The 19,079-nt window shown below is 40.5% G+C and overlaps 1 pseudogene; it reads left to right on the top strand.

Annotated features, from left to right (window-relative positions):
• On the top strand, positions 9,791-10,824 carry RPSAP12 (ribosomal protein SA pseudogene 12; annotated as a pseudogene).

Raw genomic sequence — 19,079 nt, 5'->3', positions numbered from 1 at the left:
ACATGGTGAAACCCCCTTCTCTATTAAAAATACAAAAATTAGCTGGGCATGGTGGTGCATGCCTGTAATCCCAGCTACTCGGGAGGCTGAGGTAGGAGAATCACTTGAACCTGGGAGGCGGAGGTTGCAGTGAGCTGAGTTAGCACCACTGCACTCCAGCATGGGCGACAGAGCGAGACTCTGTCTCAAAACAAACAAACAAACAAACAAACAAACACTTGGTTTCAATGCATTGAGGTAGGGAAAAGATTGAAAGAGAATTTGTCACCTTATTGCAAAGATGGGCAAGCTTTGTTTCACTTTATCTTTTTCCATTTGACCTTGAATGATTACAAGAATAGCTACAAAGCCTCTGAAAATTAAAGGTCATCTTACTACAAAGGAATTTTTATGCAGAAGCTTTAATGTTGAACTTAAATTGATCTAGATTACAGACTGCATACTTTTAACTTTCTTGGTGGTTTTATGTAAATTAATTAATTTTGTCCCTCAATTTCTCTTTTGGTTGTAGATATTTTCAATCATGGGTATAGTATGGAGGTTGTTAGTAAAAACTATTGAAAAGTGTTTTACAATACTTTATTATTTCTAAGATATGATGATGAATATCAGTGTGTATATTTATACTGACGAAAATAAAGCATATTTTCTCCTTGGTGTTTTTACACAGATACCTCTTATTAACTAAAGTTAGATTACCTAGGCAACTTTGAGGGATTATATGAATTACATGCTATTAAAGCTATCATTGTGGTCAAGAGTTTAGGTACTATTTTCAGCCCTGGCTGTGTATTGCAATGGTATGCAGATGAAAAATGTATAAATGCATGACCTTGTCAATAAAAACAAAATGAATAAGCAACACCAATGACAGTTTTGTTGGAACCAATTCCCCCCTCCCTTTTTTTCTGGAAATATGTGGCTGGCACACAGTAATAGGCTTATGAATTGAACAATTTAATACTTTATTAAAATAAAAGCAAATTAAACAGAAAGGATTGAGTTCATCTTTAGTTAAGAATGCCAGTGGCTTGGCTCTGGGAAGATGTGTCGGAGGGAGAAGAAAAAAGGGATCACTTAAGGGATTAAGTATATGAGGATCCATGAGAATTTCACGTAGACCCTGCGAAGTCCAATTTGATTGTTTCTTGATTACATTTTTACATTCTTCTGAAAGGGTCTTCAGAATTAAAGAGCAGTTTGAGGAGCAGGGAAGAATGAACAAGAATACCAAGTTTCTCAGAAGCTGGTGAAGTACTACCTACGACTCTGATTGCCTTTAATGTCATGGAGGAAGCTCTAACCCAGCTGCTTCACATAAGGGTGCAAAGCTACGACAACTCGGGTGACCTAGAGCAGCTGAACCAGTCCAGGTTTATGCCTGATCTATCTCATGGCATAAAACATTCTTTAAAAAACAACAACAGCAACAAAAATCTAGCATTTGCTTTCTAATTCTCTCAAAGCACCATGCAAATATTTATTGATCTTCCCAATGTCTGATAAAGAAGATACTAAAACAATTTATTTTATAAATCATTAGTGAGTGGACGAGTGTCGTAGGATGGCATTTTGTGATTTCTTAAACTTCGACTTCTGAGTTCTAATTATCTTCTGGTGCTATGTGATAACAGCGTGTAATAGGAAAAACGCGTTTGACTTTCAGGTCAGAGTGATCTGGGTCTGCATTCCAAACCAATCACGTAATTAGCCTCGTGGCATTGAACAAATTCCTTAATCTTTCTGAACCTCAGTTTCTTCATCTATAAAATGGGTATAGTAATACTAGCTTATTGTAACCATTAAAAAGGCTGTGTGTAAAATTTCTGGCACTCGGCAAGCCCTCAACACATAATAAAAGTTACAATAGTTCTTGTTTTTTTTTTTTTTTTTTTTTTTGAGAGGGAGTCTCGCTCTGTCCCCCAGGCTGGAGCGCAGTGGCGTGATCTCGGCTCATTGCAAGCTCTGCCTCCCGGGTTCACGCCGTTCTCCTGTCTCAGCCTCCTGAATAGCTGGGACTACAGGCGCCCGCCACCAGGCCCGGCTAATTTTTTGTATTTTTAGTAGAGATGTGGTTTCACCGTGTTAGCCAGGATGGTCTGGATCTCCTCACCTCGTGATCCGCCCGCCTCGGCCTCCCAAAGTGCTGGGATTACAGGCGTGAGCCACTGTGCCCAGCATTTTTTTTTTTCTTTTTGAGATAGGGTCTCATGTTGTCAGCAGACTGGAGTACAGTGGTGCCATCTTGGCTCACTGCAACCTCTGGGGTTCAAGTGATTCTCCCACCTCAGCCTCCCGAGTAGCTGGGACTACAGGCACGCGCCACTATGTCTAGCTAATTTTTTGAATGTTTTGTGGAGATGGGTTTTTGCCATGTTGCCCAGGCTTGTCTCCAACTCCTGAGCTCGAGCGATCCTCCTGCCTCAGCCTCCCAAAGTGCTGGGATTACTGGCATGAGCCACTGCACCCGGCCTTGTTTTGTTAATTGTATCTATTGCATCACATGAAGAGAAAATACTCACCAATTCTAGCCTGGGGCATTAGGCATTTATTGCTTTCAGTAGATGTTCTCAATTGTGCATAGATCATAGACCCGAACTGATGTTTTTAACCCCTCTGATGAGGCATCACAAGGACAAAAATTTAATTTTATCCAGGATGTATTTGTTAGTCTTTGGCCAAGCTCTTAGCCAGATCTTTTGTAGGATTCCGTTGAAAGTCCTAAAAGAAATAATTCATTTAGTATTTACACTCCATCACTTAAATGTTATGTATTTTAGGATTAAGCAACATCTGGAATTAACCTCTATTTATACAGTTAATTTTTTTTAAAGCCAACAGATGACTCCTTTTGGCACTCTTCTGATAAAATTCTGTCCAGGCCCACAGAGTGATAATCTTGAGACCGGCTGCTCACCTCTCCTAGCCTCCTCCAGTGCCACAGGCCTAGTTGACCTCTGCTGGGTTTCCTGGGGGTGGGCCTGGCCCCCTTCTGCTCACTTCTGGGCCATTTGCCTTGACTTGCTTGGCCCACTCCAGCTGCTTCCCATTCATTTCCTGGCTTCTGAGCTTGCAGAGGGCTTGGGAATTCTTCCCAACTCAGGCAGCCACCAGCATTCTTCCCAGCTGGCAGTTTTCCTGCTAAATGGGAGCCTTCCTCTTGCAGTGTCCTCCACCTGTCTGCAGCTATATCGCCTCTAGACTTGTCCATGGCCCTGGAGCTCAGTGCTCATGTGACACAGCCTGAGCTGAATTCCTGCTCAAGGCTGCAGGGGAGGCCACCAGCTCCACACTTTATTCAGGGCAATGGAAATCCCCTCTTCCCTCGCTATGGTTCCCACCCCCAGTCAGCAGGGGAGCATCCTCTGAGCAGATTGCCATACGTGCCTGTTTCTGCTTCCATTTCCCCAAATGAGAACACTACTGAAGGTCAGCAGAGCTTGGAAACAGCTCACCAGGGTTAAGTCATGGAAAACACCAGTGATCCAGACAGGAAATAGGGGCCACGAGTAGTTTCAGATAGTGACAAAAAACAGGAGTGGCTGAACATTCACACTGTGGATAAGTGGAGTTGGCCACCGCCTGATGCAATTTGTGTCTCCGAGGGTGGCTTCCATTGGCTTTACGCAGTGCCTGAAGTTCTAGTTCCTAGCCCAACTTCCTCTTTCCAGTAGAAGCAGGGTGTGGTGCAGCATTTTCCAGAGTGCTCCTTGCAGTACAAATCCCCTGAGGTGCTCCTTGAGAAAAGGTTTTCATACTTGAATAACACTGCACAATGCTGCACGCTATAGCTCCTTCAAGAAGATCACAGAGTGCATTCATATATTAAGACTATTCGCGCTTGGAAGCTGTGCTTTATCCAGAGGCTCTGAAAGTTATTGGACTACAGAATGCTTCCTTCAAATAACACTTAATCATAATCAGTAAAATTAATGCTCAATGGACATACTGTTCTTTTGTTTGTTTGTTTGTTTCTATTTGAGTTGGAGTCTTGCTCTGCCGTCCAGGCTGGAGTGCAGTGATGTGAGCATGGCACACTGCAGCCTCGAACTTATGGGCTCAAATGATCCTCCCATCTCAGCCTCCCATTACCATGCATGCTAATTTTTTCTATTTGCTATTTTTATTTTTTTGTAGAGTCAAAGCCTCACTATGTTGCCCAGGCTGGTCTTGAACTCCTGGGGTCAAGTGATCCTCCTGCCTCAGCCTACCAAAGTGCTGGGAATATAGTCATGAGTCATGGCACCCTGTTCAACATGCTATTTTTTAAGCCAAGAACACACCTACCTCAGGGCCTTTGTCCTTGCTGGTCCTTCTACTTGCTATGACCTGTCTATGGATATTCACATGACTCACTTCCTCAACTGCTCAAAAGAGGTTTTCTCTGAATGTCCTATCTAAATGACTCTCCCCATTCACTTCAATACAGTCACTTTCTCTTTATCCCCTTATCCGGCTTTGTTATTTTCTATAGCAGTTATAACTCCCTGGCATTATAAATCATTGATTTATTATGTAATAATTAATTTATTTTTGATAAATGTATTGTAGTTAAAATGAAAGCTCCCTGACGGCAGAGGCATTGGTGCCCCCTGTTGTATCCTCAGCTCTAGAACTCTGCCTCTTTCTCTCTCAGTATGACCTTGAGCAAATCCCTTCATCACTTGGACCCTCAATTTCTTTAGGTAAGATGAAGAAAAACAATATCCATTCTGCTTCTCTCATGGGACCATGAGGAGGATCAGGTGAGAACTGGGCTGTGATAGTGCTTGTAAACTGTCAGGAGCTAAAAAATATAGGTTATTTTATATTATTATAAATAATATAGGTTATTATATATTATATAACATATATATAATATATTACCTATATAATATATTACCTATATATTACCTATATAATATAGGTTATTATATATTATTAAACATATATCTATGAACATAATAAATATATTATTAAAGACAAAATGCAAAACAGAAAAGGGAGGTAACCCCCATGGTGAGAGCAGATGAACTAGGAATGTGAGGATAGGTTGTTTTGACAAAAAAGAGGGGCAGGGTAGAAGAAACTCTAAAGAGGCAGTGTGACCTAGAGAGAGCAAAGACCCGTTGATACTGTCCTGAATCACAGGAAATGGGAGAAATACTTAAGAGAGGGAAGAAAGTTTCACTAGTAGAGCTTGTTAGTATAATCTAGTAGTTACTGCTCTTTGGATGCTTCCATATCTCTGACACTTTGATTTTTAAACAAATTTTGTTTAATCCATAGGAAAGTCCTATAGGGTAAGTATCATCTAGGTTTTATTCACAAGGAAACTGAAGCAGAGGGAGTTTCAATACCATACTGTACCCAAGGCCACATAGGGAGTGACAATCCAGATCTCAATGCCAACCTGAGGCTGCCAGACAAGGCAGTCTTGGCTCCCACAGAGCCTAATGGGTCTCCTCCTCGCCCTACTTGGAGGTGGCCCTGTAAGAGTGAGGACAAGGTTAACCAGAGAACTTCTGTTAGCCTCTTCCTTAGCTCTCTCTAGAAAAACAGTTTGAACTGTAAACCTACAGTGGTGCCACAAACCTAGTTGATGTATAGAACCATCCACTGAATTGCTCTTTAGGGGAGGGAGCAGGGAAAGGACAGAGGAAGGTAGGTAGTTTTTAAAGTATAACAATGGTTATGACTTTGTTATTTGAGGAAATGTACGTATGTTCAGAAAATGGAAGTTGAGGCTGGGCTGCATGGAGGCTGCTGTTTGTCTTGTATTATTTTCTGCTGCAAGGGCTTATATCCTCTCATATCCTGTTTCTCTTTATTTTTAAAACCATGTGTCAATATTTTGTTTGCATTAACTAATTATCTGTGTGTCTCCATCTGAGACAATCTAAAAATTATTAAAGACTTCAGTAGCAAATCTGGGAATGGAATAAACGGAATGAGATCTATTATAAGATTCTTCTCTGTGTTACCAATGTTTGCCTAATGAGGTTTTACGTCAACTTTGAAAACCTTAATTTATTTGGGTATTAAATTCAATGAAAGGTCTCCCACCAATCTGGCAGTTAGTCCTGAGGTGTGAAACTTGCCCTCCCTGAAGATGCTGGGAACTTTGCCCATAAAATAGGAAACGACGGTTGAAAATAAAATCTTGACAATTTTAGAACATGGGATAGTTGAAATCTCTGGGATGAAATGAGCATGACTAATATCATTTCTATTCCATAGAGCTCATTTTCCTTACAGAAGTTGTCAGGGAGTGAGTCTAGAGGGAGGCTGTGACTACATGTATGTAGCAGCAAATCTAAGCCATTATCAGGATGATTCAGCCACCAAGACCTTTTACTAGAAATAAACTGATATTTAAAGGTTAAGAATGGGAGTGGGAAAATGTTTTTCTTTCATTTTTTAAAAATAATGCTTTCAATGTTTTTAGTTCAAGTGAATGGACGTGTGTGTGTGTGTGTGTGTGTGTGTGTGTATGTGTGTGAGAGAGAGAGAGGTGAGGGAGATAAGAGAAGGAGAGAGGAAAGAAGTGGGAGGGGAGGACAGGCAATGTCTTCAAACATCAAACTCTGGGATAATTGAATAGTTGGATGCGGGTTGTGCTCCCTGTTAAGGGGCAGTGTCATGTAGTGGTTAAAGGTTTTAAGTCAGACACTTAGATTCAAAGCCTGGCTTAGTGCTTTTCTCAAGCCGTTCTCTGTAACTTGAAAGATCCTAGTGGTCACCTAGTGTGATTCTATTTATCTTTCAAAAGGTCCTACTTGGATCTTTTGGAGTTTTTTGTAATTGTATCAGCCATAATGAATCTTTCAGTCTTTTGAATTCCTGTAGTAAAATATTGCCTTGTAAATATTTGTGTACATGTTTATCTTGCCTATTCTTTGAGAGCAGACTCCCTGCTTTACCTGCTTTCCTATTTCACACAGTTTTTAGTACAGTGTACTCAATAAATTTTTGTTTATTGAATGAAAATGGATGAATAAAAAAATACTTTTGAGCAAAGCTCATGAAAGCTTTTGTTATTACAATTATAGTAGAGGTGACTTGTCTGAGTTCTAAAATTTATTTTATTTAAAACTTTTTTTAATTTTTAATTTTTGCGGGTATATGGTAGGTGTATATATTTATATGATACATGGGATATTTTGATATAGGCACGTAATGTGAAATAAGCACATTGTGGAGAATGGGGTATCCATCCCTTCAAGCATTTATTATTTGTGTTATAAACAATTCAATTATACTCTTTTGGTTATTTAAAAATGTACAATTAAATTATTATTGACTATATGGCCAGGCATGGTGGCTTATGCCTGTAATCCCAGCACTTTGGGAGGCTGAGGCGGGCAGATCATTTGGGGTCAGGGGTTCAAGACCAGCCTGGTCGACATGGTGAAACCCCGTCTCTACTAAAAATAAAAAAAATTAGCCAGGCTTGGTGATGCATGCCTGTAATCCCAGCTACTCAGGAGGCTGAGGCGGGAGAATCGCTTGAACCCAGGGAGGTGGAGGTTGACAGAGTGAGACTCCGTCTAAAAAAAAAGAAAATTATTGACTATAGGCTGGGTGAGGTGGCTCGTGCCTGTAATCCCAGAACTTTGAGAGGCTGAGGTGGGTGGATCATTTGAGCCCAGGAGTTCGAGACCAGCCTAGGCAACATGATGAAATCCTGTCTATACAAAAAAATTTAAAAATTAGCTGAGTGTGGCGGTGCACACTTGTAGTCCCAGCTACTTGGGAACCAGACATGGGAGGATCTCCTGAGCCCAGAAGGTCAAGGTTGCAGTAAGCCAGCCTGGGCAATAAGAGTAAGACCCTGTCTCTAATAATAATAATAATAATAATAATAATAATAATAATAATAAATAAAATAAATAAATTATTAGACTATAGTCTCCCTGTTGTATTATCAAGTAGTAGATTATTCATTCTTTCTATTTTTTTGGGGCCCATTAACCATCCCCACCTCTCTCCCACTGCTTCACTACCCTTCCCAGACTCTGGAAACCATCCTTCTATTCTATATTTCCATGAGTTCAATTGTTTTGATTTTTATATCCCACAAATAAGTGAGAAAATACACTGTTTGCCTTTCTGTGCCTGGCTTATTTCACTTAACATAATGACTTTCAGTTCCATCCATGTTGTTGCAAATGACAGGATTTCATTCTTTTTTATGGCTGAATAGTACTGCACTGTGTATAGTACTACATTTTCTTTATTCATTCACCTGTGGATGGACACTTTAGGTTGTTTCCAAATCTTGGTTATTGTGAACAGTGTTGTAACAAACATGGGGGTGTAGATGCCTCTTTCACATATTGGTTTTCTTTCTTTTGGATATATACCTAGCAGTGGATTGTTGGATCATATGGTAGCTCTGTTTTTAGTTTTTTGGGGAATCTCCAAACTATTATCCATAGTGGCTGTACAATTAATAATTTACATGCCCACCAAGAGTGTATGAGGGTTCCCTTTTCTCCACATCCCTAGCATTTTTTATCACCTGCCTTTTGGATATAAGCCATTTTAACTGGGGTGAGGTGAAATCTCATTGTAGTTTTTATTTGCATTTCTCTGATGATAAATGACGTTGAGCATCTTTTCATATGCCTGCTTGCCATTTGTATGTCTTCTTTTGAGAAATGTCTATTCAAATCTTTTGCTTATTTTTTGATCAGATTATTAGATTTTTTTCATATAGAGTTGTTTGAGTTCCTTATATATTCTGATTATTAATCCCGTGTCAGATGGGTAGTTTGCAAATATTTTCTCCCACTCTGTGGATTGTCTCTTCACTTTGATTGTTTCCTTTGCTGTGCAGAAGCTTTTTAATTTGATGTGATCCCATTTGTTCATTTTTGCTTTGGTTGTCTGTGCTTGTAGGGTATTACTCAAGAAATGTTTGCCCAGACCAATGTTCTGGAGAGTTTCTTTAATGTTTTCTTGTAGTAGTTTCATAGTTCAAGGTCTTAGATTTAAGTCTTTAATCCATTTTTATTTCATTTTTGTATACGATGAGAGAGGGGTTTAATTTCTTTCCCTGCATATGGATATCCAGTTTTCCCAGCACCATTTATTGAAGAGACTGTCTTTTCCCCAGTGTGTAGTCTTGACACCTTCATTGAAAATGAGTTCACTATAAATGTATAGATTTGTTTCTGGGTTATCTTTCTGTTCCTTTGGTCTATGTGTCTGTTTTTATGCCAGTACTATGCTGTTTTGTTTACTATAGCTGTGTAACATAATTTGAAGTCAGGTAATGTGATTCCTCCAGTTTTGTTCTTTTTGCTTAGAATAGCTTTGAGTATCCTGGGTCTTTTGTGGTTCTATATAAATTTTAGGATTGTTTTTTCTATTTATGTGAAGACTGTTATTGGTATTTCCATAGAGATTGCATTGAATCTGTAGATTACTTTGGGTATTATGGACATTTTAACAATATTGATTCTTCCAATCCATGAACATGGAATATCTTTCCATTTTTTTGGTGTCCTTTTCAATTGCTTTCATCAGTGTTTTATAATTTTCATTAGAGAGATCTTTCACTTCTTTGGTTAATTCCTAGGTATTTAGTTTCATTTGTGGCCATTGCAAATGAGATTACTTTTTTATTTTGTTTTCAGATTGTTCACTGTTAGCATATAGAAATGCTACTGATTTTTGTATGTTGATTTTGTATACTGCAACTTTACTGAATTGTTAATCAGTTCTAATAGTTTTTTGGTAAAATCTTTAGGTTTTCCCAAATATAAGATTATATCATCTGCAAACAAGAATAATTTGACTTTGCTTTCCGCGCTACCTGCAGAGGGGTCCATACGGCGCTGTTCTGGATTCCCGTTGTAACTTAAAGGGAAACTTTCACAATGTCCGGAGCCCTTGATGTCCTGCAAATGAGGGAGGAGGATGTCCTTAAGTTCCTTGCAGCAGGAACCCACTTAGGTGGCACCAATCTTGACTTCCAGATGGAACAGTACATCTATGAAAGGAAAAGTGATGGCATCTATATCATAAATCTGAAGAGGACCTGGGAGAAGCTTCTGCTGGCAGCTCATGCTATTGTTGCCATTGAAAACCCTGCTGATGTCAGTGTTATATCCTCCAGGAATACTGGCCAGACGGCTGTGCTGAAGTTTGCTGCTGCCACTGGAGCCACTCCAATTGCTGGGCGCTTCACTCCTGGAACCTTCACTAACCAGATCCAGGCAGCCTTCCGGGAGCCACGGCTTCTTGTGGTTACTGACCCCAGGGCTGACCACCAGCCTCTCACGGAGGCATCTTATGTTAACCTACCTACCATTGCGCTGTGTAACACAGATTCTCCTCTGCGCTATGTGGACATTGCCATCCCATGCAACAACAAGGGAGCTTACTCAGTGGGTTTGATGTGGTGGATGCTGGCTCGGGAAGTTCTGTGCATGCTTGGCACCATTTCCTGTGAACACCCATGGGAGGTCATGCCTGATCTGTACTTCTACAGAGATCCTGAAGAGATTGAAAAAGAAGAGCAGGCTGCTGCTGAAAAGGCAGTGACCAAGGAGGAATTTCAGGGTGAATGGACTGCTCCAGCTCCTGAGTTCACTGCTATTCAGCCTGAGGTTGCAGACTGGTCTGAAGGTGTACAGGTGCCCTCTGTGCCTATTCAGCAATTCCCTACTGAAGACTGGAGCTCTCAGCCTGCCATGGAAGACTGGTCTGCAGCTCCCACTGCTCAGGCCACTGAATGGGTAGGAGCAACCACTGACTGGTCTTAAGCTGTTCTTGCATAGGCTCTTAAGCAGCATGGAAAAATGGTTGATGGAAAATAAGCATCAGTTTCTAAAAAAAAAAAAAGAATAATTTGACTTCTTCCTTTCCAATTTGGATGCTCGTTATTTCTTTCTCTTGTCTGATTACTCTAGCTATGACTCCCAGTACTACGTTGAATAACAGTGGTGACACTGAGCATCCTTGTCATGTTCCAGATATTAGAGGAAAGGCTTTCAGTTTTTCTCCATTCACTATGATACTAGCTGTGGGTTTATCATATATGGTTTTATTATGTTCAGATATGTTTCTTCTATACCCAGTTTTTTGAGGGTAAAATATATTGTAGAAATGAAGAAAATGAATGCCTTAGATGTTAAAGAATTTGAGTGCAAAGTGCTGTGGCCCTTGTATCAGATATAATCCTTTATTTTAGGAGCTTTATTCATTTAGTCAGTGATTATTATTTGTTTTTATATGCTATGCACTGTTTCAGGGGTTATAACCTTGAACAAGGCTCAATCTATGCTCTTTTTTTTTTAATCTTAAAGACAAGATCTTGCTCTGTCACCCGAGCTGGAGTGCAGTGATGTGATCACACCTCACTGCAACCTTGAACTCCTGGGTTCAAGGGATCTTCCCACCTCAGCCTCCTGAGTAGCTGGGACTACAGATGCATGCCACTGTGTCCAGCTAATTTTTTGTTTGTTTGTTTGTTTTGTTGCCCAGGCTGGTCTTGAACTCTTGGGCTCAATGGATCTTACTGCCTTGGCCACTTAAAGTGTTGGGATTAAAAGCATGAGCCACTGTGCTCGGCCCCACTCTGTGCTCTCAATTAGTTTGTAATTAGTGGGGAATTGAGATTTGCTTAAAAGGTAATTACAAGATTTTGATTACATGGTGATTAATGCCACATAATGATAAGATAGGGTGCAATGGAAGCATTATTCTAGTCTTGGGAGTGAAGAAATGCTTCTTAAATAAAGTGATTAAGTTAAGAAAATAAGAATAACATACATGAGTTATTTACTGAATAATACCAGCATGCTGTGGATAATGTTAAATTGGGAGGTAGGGACCATAAATACATTGTGTTCTAAGATGGGCTGATATAGCCAGAGAAGTCTTCAGAGACAAGATTTGATTTAAATTAGATCTTGCCCAATTGATGAATATAATTTTTATATGATTGTGATTAAAGACAGGGAGAGAACATCCCAGGTAGAAGTTTCAATACGTGTGAAAGGCTGGGTGCGGTGGCTCATGCCTGTAATCCTGGCACTTTAGGAGGCTGAGGCAGGTGGATCAACTGAGGTCAGGAGTTTGCACTTTGCATTAGGTGCTAGGGACCCAATAATGAATCAAATCTGGTCCCAGTACAGCAAATCATAGTTTATAGTATTATAAGGAGACCGGTCTAAATAAAGCAGAGGTTTAATCCTGGGGAGTAGTGGGAAATCTGAAGAGATAGAGTGGGGCCACCTGTATTTTGACTAATGTCTTGGGAGTTCAGATTTGAAGTCACTAACTTTTTTTATAGCAGAAGTACATTTCCTGGCTAATATGATAGAAGGATTGCAATAGGGGAAAGAGCAGCTCTTGTAGGCACAGGGAAGTGACAAAGCAGGCTAGAAAATAGGCTAATTTTTGTGTTCGTTCTCCCTCACCACTGCAAGTATACTGGCTTAGCAGGTCTGAGTTGCAAGTGCCTTCTGACTTGTCTCCCTAATTACAGCTTCTTGTCCACTCAAATCTAGTTGACGCACTGCTGCCACGGTATATTCATGAAACAACATCTAGATTCTCATCTGACTAAGAAATCTTCAATGAATCTCTTTTTATTAAACTAATAAGCATTTGTTGAGGGTCTTTCTCCATATCTATCTATCTATCTATCTATCTATCTATCTATCTATCTATAGATAAGTGGTAAGTTTTAGGAATCAAAGCAAAATAAAGTAACAGAAAATAACAAAGATGGTGCTTTTCTTGGATAAGGTTTTGAGGGTTACTTTTCCAAATAAGAAGAAACTTGAGTTAAGACTTGATTGGAGGGAGAGCTTTTGAGGCTTAATAGCAAGGGAAAAGGCCTTGAAGAAATGTGTTTGTTGAGTTCAAGGAGTGAGAGTTGGTGGATGTGGCTGGAGCACAGTGAGGAAGGGGGAGAGTGAGGGAAGGTGAGCTTGAGGTGGGTGAGTGGGTGGTGCCCCCCACCTTGAGTCAAGTTGTGCTTTGTAGTTCATCCTAAGGACTTTGGATTTTGTTCTGATGATAAAAGAAGTTGTCGGAGGGCTTTGAACAAAAGAGTATCATGATCTTATTTAGATTTGAAAAGGATTGATGGCTGTTGGCTGGAGATAGGCTCTAGAGGGGCAAAGATGAAAACAGTGAGATCAGCTGAGGAAGTAACAGAAATGAAGTTGAGAGATGCTGGTGGTTTGGACAAGAGTGGTAGTGATGAGGGTGTAGAGAATGATTGGACCCTTGGTTACAACTTGTAGCTACGATTAATAGGATTTGCTGAATGAAAATAGAAGAGTGAAAAATGACTTCAATTATTTTGACCTGAACAACTGGAGTAATGAAATTGCTATTGACAGGGAGGGGTAAGGTAGCCAGAGTAAGTGGCCTGGAATGTGATTAGAATCATGTTTTTGAACATATCTCTTGCATGCTTATTAGCTGTCTGAGTAGAGGTGTTGAGATATAAACAATTGGATATATGCTTATTGAATTCAGGAAGTGTCTGTGCTGGAGATACACACTTGGGATTTGTATATAGATAATATAGATAATATTTGAAGCCACAGGCCTAGATGAGACCACCAAGGAATAAGAATAGGTAGAGAAGGACAAACTGTGGTGCTCCAATGGTCAGAAGTGAGATGATAAGGAGGAATCAGCCAAGGAGACTGAGAAGAGTTATCCATGAGGGAGAAGGGATCTCTGGAAGCTGAGTGAAGAAAAGATTTCAAGGAGAAGAGAATAATCAACTGTGTTGAGTAACTGACATTTGAATTTTGCCATTGGACAGGGGGGAAGTTGATAAGCACAGTTTTTCACATTGTGTTGGTGAAGTGGTTACAGCCTGAATGGAGATTTTTCAAGACAGAAAAAAAGTAAGGAAGTACAGGCAGTGAGTTACAACAGTCCTTTAGTTTAGAAAAACTTTGCTGTCATGAGAAAGTAAAATAGGGAGGTAGCTTAAAGGGATGATGTGGTACAGGGAGGTTTGTTTTTAATGAGCTAGGTAGGGCAAATTTCATGATAATAGGAATAATGATGGATAACACAGGAGAGAGGGGACATTTGCTGAAGCAGTGTCATTAGTGTCCTTGAGAAGGTGAGAAAGCCTGGGACCCAGTGTCTGGTGAAGGGGCTAGCCATAGATAGGAGTATGGAAAGTTCCTCCATCATAGAAAGTGTGGGCAGAGTACATGGGGACATTGGAGAGAAGTTTGTTGATGTAGTCTTGGGACTCTTTGGAAATTCTTTTCTGATTGCCTCTATTTTCTCAGCAAAACAATAAGACTCTCAGCAGCTAGAAGGAGAGTAACAAAGGTGTTGGAAGTTTGAAGAGCAAGAATAAAGTAAAAAACAGACTTTTTTTTTTTTTAGATGGAATTTCACTCTGTTGCCCAGGTTGGAGTACAATGGTGTGCCAACTCACTGTGACCTCTGCCTCCCAGGTTCAAGTGATTCTCCTGCCTCAGCCTCCCAAATAGCTGGGATTACAGGCACCTGCCACCACACTTGTCTAATTTTTGTATTTTTGATAGAGACAGGGTCTCACCACATTGGCCAGGCTGGTCTCGAACTCTTGACCTCAGGTGATCTACCTGCCTCAGCCTCCCAAAGTGCTAGGATTACAGGCATGAACCACTGTGCCTGGCCTAAAATAGACAGAAGAGAATGTGATGATGAAGAAAATCTTCAAGAATTGCCATTTATATTATTTGTTATGGTATTCACAGCTTTTCAAAAAATTTCTCCTAGTTCTCTCAACTCATCTATTCTCCACTCCCAGTCATTCCCAATGCACATTTCTGTTTTAGCATCATGATAATGGATGCAATATAGCAGAACGCCTAGGGGCATCAGGCTGCAGTGAGCCATGATTGTGCCAATACACGCCAGCCTGGGTGACAGGGTCAGACTCTGTACTCAAAATAATAATAATAATAATAATAATAATAATAATAATAATAATAGTAATAAATAGAATGCTTAGGAGTGGGAACTTTGGTGGTGTCCAACTTTTGGAATTTGAATCTTGGTTTCACCACTGTCTTTCTTCTGGCTTTGGTTTCTTTATCTGCAAATGAAGAAATAAACAATCCTTACTTCTTGTGGTTGTCATAAAGATTATAGAAGATAATGCATATCAAGCATCTGACACATGGTAAACACTCAGGAAATATTAGTCAGGGTTAATTTTACTACTACCATCATCTCTATTCTGTGAGGATGTGTGTCTTAAGGGAAAGGACTATTTTACTCAGCCTGTGATCCTCATGATACCTTGTATAGAGTTGGTATTTAACAACTATCTAGTGGAATGCAATCCACATTTAAACAATACTCAGTGCATTGCAATTGGCCCTCAGGTTTTCTGAAAATCTGACTATTATAATCAGCATGTTCTCTTTGAAGGTATTGTCGGTTGTCAAGTTGAGTGTTTGAATGCCCCACTGCCCTAAAAAGAAATTCATGATGATATTTCTCAAAAAACATATTCTACACATGCAAATGTTGCCTTATTTTTTGAACATCCACTTCTTAGATTGGATCCTACTGTGCTGTGGTCTTCCCTGGGAGCCTGATTTTTATGAAGCTGGTAGGGGGCTGGGTGCATAAAGAGATTCACAGCTGAGGAAATCAGACAACTGAAGCTCTGAACAGCCTCAGTGAGAAAACAGCATTCCTGTTTCCTCTGTGCCACAGTCTTGTCACCTGCTTTTCCATACAGTGGTGAAACAGAGGTAGAAAATTGATTTGGCAAGTCACTTCTATTATAATCTTAGTGTAGCAGGACGAGCCTCAGACAAAACCCCTCAGACACCGAGTTAAAGAAGGAAGGGCTTTATTCGGCCAGGAGCATCAGCAAGACTCATGTCTCAAAAACCGAGCTTCCCAAGTAAGCAATTCCTGTCCCTTTTAAGGACTCACAACTCTAAGGGGGTCTGCATGAGAGGGTCGTGATTGATTGAGCAAGCAGGGGGTATGTGACTGGGGGCTGCAAGCACCGGTAATTAGAACAGAACAGAACAGAACAGGACAGGGATTTTCACAGTGCTTTTCTATACAATGTCTGTAATCTATAGATAACACAACCGATTAGGTCAGGGGTCAATCTTTAACTACCAGGCCCAGGGTGTGGCGCTGGGCTGTCTGCCTTTGGATATCAGTTCTGCCTTTTAGTTTTTACTTCTTCTTTCTTTGGAGGCAGAAATTGGTCATAAGACAATATGAGGGGTGGTCTCCTCCTTTATTCCCCCTTTTGAGAACTTCACTCATTAGTGGGAGTTCTCACTTTCATTCTAACTACCCATGTCTTCTTGCAAGACAGATCAATAGTGATTCATATAGTACACTTGTGCTGAAGCATTTTGATGAACTAAGGTAGCGATGAAGCTTTTTATCATTTGAAGAAGTAGAGGTAGCAAACAAGGGAGCAGTAAGCAGGTTTCTATTACTATTACAACTCCTATTTGAAGAGTTTTAAATCTTCTTAGTGCTGGGAACCATTTTCTAAACATGGCCCCAGGATCAAATCCATGCCACACTTGCACGGGCACATGTGCTAGTTTTGTCATATTTCTAACTATGTCTTCAACTACTTGCCCTTGATCATCTACGTGTAGACAGCAATTAGTAAGGTTAAATTTCCTACAGATCCCTCCTTCAGCTGCTAGCAAGTAGTCGAGAGCCAATCTATTTTCATAGATAGCATTTCTCATATGAGTTTCTTGCTGGGCCAGAATAGTCAAGGCTCTGCCAGTCTTATTAGTGACTATTTTTAAGACAGCTTGTAACCATATGATTTGGTTGAGCATGTAAATGGGGGTCTGGTATCCCCATGAGTCATCTTGTGCCCAAGTGCCAGGCACATAATATTGTATGATTCTCTCAGGGGGCTGTTCATCTTCTTTTTAATTTTCTATAGCTATGCTTCTCTTTTTGCAGAAAGCATAGACAGGGAAGCCCAGGAGTTCACCTGTCTTTATGGGCAGTAGGAAGAAAGATAGTTTAATAGTGCCAATAACACAACTACCTGCCCACTGGTCGGGTAATTTGGTGTAAGCTCTATGCCCACATATTCAGTATAATCAAGTGGGGGCTGTCCAGTCCCAGTGGGACTCCAGGTGGGTCCACACGGTTTGCAACTTTGGGAATTTACTAAATGGATTTTTCTTAGTGTGGTTTGAACTCCACTAGGTGGCTGTTTTTGTAGTACTATTATACAGTTTTTGCCCAAGGCAGCTGAGTCTTCCCACAGGAAGGGTGAAGTCCTTCCCCACTCTTGCTATACAGTATTGTCTAATGACTGAGGCTTTTAGGACCCAGAAGTTATCAGGGTGATTCTTTTGAGCTGGGAATTCATCAGGAACTGGGTCTGTAGGTACTAATTCTCAGGCTTCCCATGGCCATTGATCTCCCATTACAGTTCCTCCACATACATAACATGAAGTGACATTGAGAGACTGGGCTACATGCTTGGTTAATTGCAAAAACAAATTTCTTGTTTTTCCTGGAATTTCTGGTACTGGCACATTTAGTTCATCATAGAAGGTTTGAAATACTGGCTCAGGAGAGCGTTTATAAACTTCTCCTCAAACCACGATATTTACTTGAGGATCCAGTCCAGCCCCATCGATTCCTAGGGTTACATGCTCCCCTTATTTCCAGCGAGGATCAAGGGAGTTGGTTATTACTAGTTCTAAGGGGTTACACAGACCACTGGTACACGAAGGGTCACTTTTCCCTTTCTGAAGATGGACAGGATTCCTTTCATTTTTTTATCCAAGTAGCCTAAATGACACAAGACCAGTATCCACATTCATTTCCACACAGTCTTAATTCATGACAAATGTACTTATTTTCTGTCATATAGCCTCTTTCCTAATTAAGAGAACCACATCCTATTCCTAACTTATTACTATTAATGACAGCACAGGCATCAAATTTCAAGGTGACTTGTTTGGGCACTCCTTTTTCTTCTGTTTTGGCTAACACTTTACTCATATCATTTATGAGCCCTCACTAGTCCTCAGTCCTTAATCTTATTTTAAAAACTATGGTCATGGGAGGCTCAGATGGGTCATAACACACATCAGCTTGGGGGCTACATACCTTGTATAGAATAGCATTATACAAACAAGTTCTTTTTAGAGTCCCAGTACACTTATGATAACCATAAAATAATAGGACTGTAGCAACTTTTTGTCCTACCTCAGTGACTTGATGTATACACTGGGAATAGTAATCAGTCTGAGGAAGGTCAGTTGAAGTCCTTACTGTACGAGTCCAAATTTTAAGGAAAATGAGTCCCACAATGAGTTTTCTCATGCTTCGGGCACATGTGGACCAGTCAGCTTCCAGGTGTGACTGGAGTAGGGCTTCTCATCTTCTTCAGAGTCACTTTGCAGGGGTTGGTGAAGCTGCTCCCATCCACGTACAGCTCACAGCCTACTGATGTTCAAGGATGGTCTCAGAGTTTGGGCCCACTAGAATAAACTGAGTCCAATACCTTTACACACTTACGTTCAACTGGGCTCTCTGATACTGGGAGCAAGGTGGTGGGGTTTAGGTTGTTGCAAACTTCAATGGTTATGTGGGGATTTTTACATAGCAAGCTTTGGTACTTGGTTAATCTAGCATTTGTTAGCCTATGATGCCCTTTGGTATTCATCAAAGTTACCACAGCATGGGGGGGCCTTTATATTCAGGTTTTGCCCAAGGGTTAGTTTATCTGCTCCTTGTGCTAACAGGGCCATTGCTGCCAGGGCCCTTAGACATGGGGGCCAGCCTTTGGAAACCCCGTCTAGTTGTTTTGAGAGATAGGCCACTGGCCTTGGCCAGGGCCCTACAGTCTGGGTTAAAACTCCAATTGCCATTTTTTCTCTTTCTGACACATAGAGTGTAAAGAGTTTTGTCAGGTCAGGTAGCCCCAGGGCTGGGGCTGACATGAGTTTTTCTTTTAACTCATGAAAAGCTTGTCACTGTTGGTTGTAATAGATGTAGTTTATCCAATCTACATTTTCATTAACTGTCACCCACCAAAATATTGACTCAAATCCTGCAGCTATTTGATTTCAAGCTTTAAATTGATC

Source organism: Homo sapiens, chromosome 12 (assembly GCF_000001405.40).
Source record: "Homo sapiens chromosome 12, GRCh38.p14 Primary Assembly".
In the NCBI taxonomy this organism is placed as follows: Eukaryota; Metazoa; Chordata; class Mammalia; order Primates; family Hominidae; genus Homo; species Homo sapiens.
Note: the sequence above shows the minus strand (reverse complement) of the source record. Positions and strands in the feature narration are given on the sequence as shown.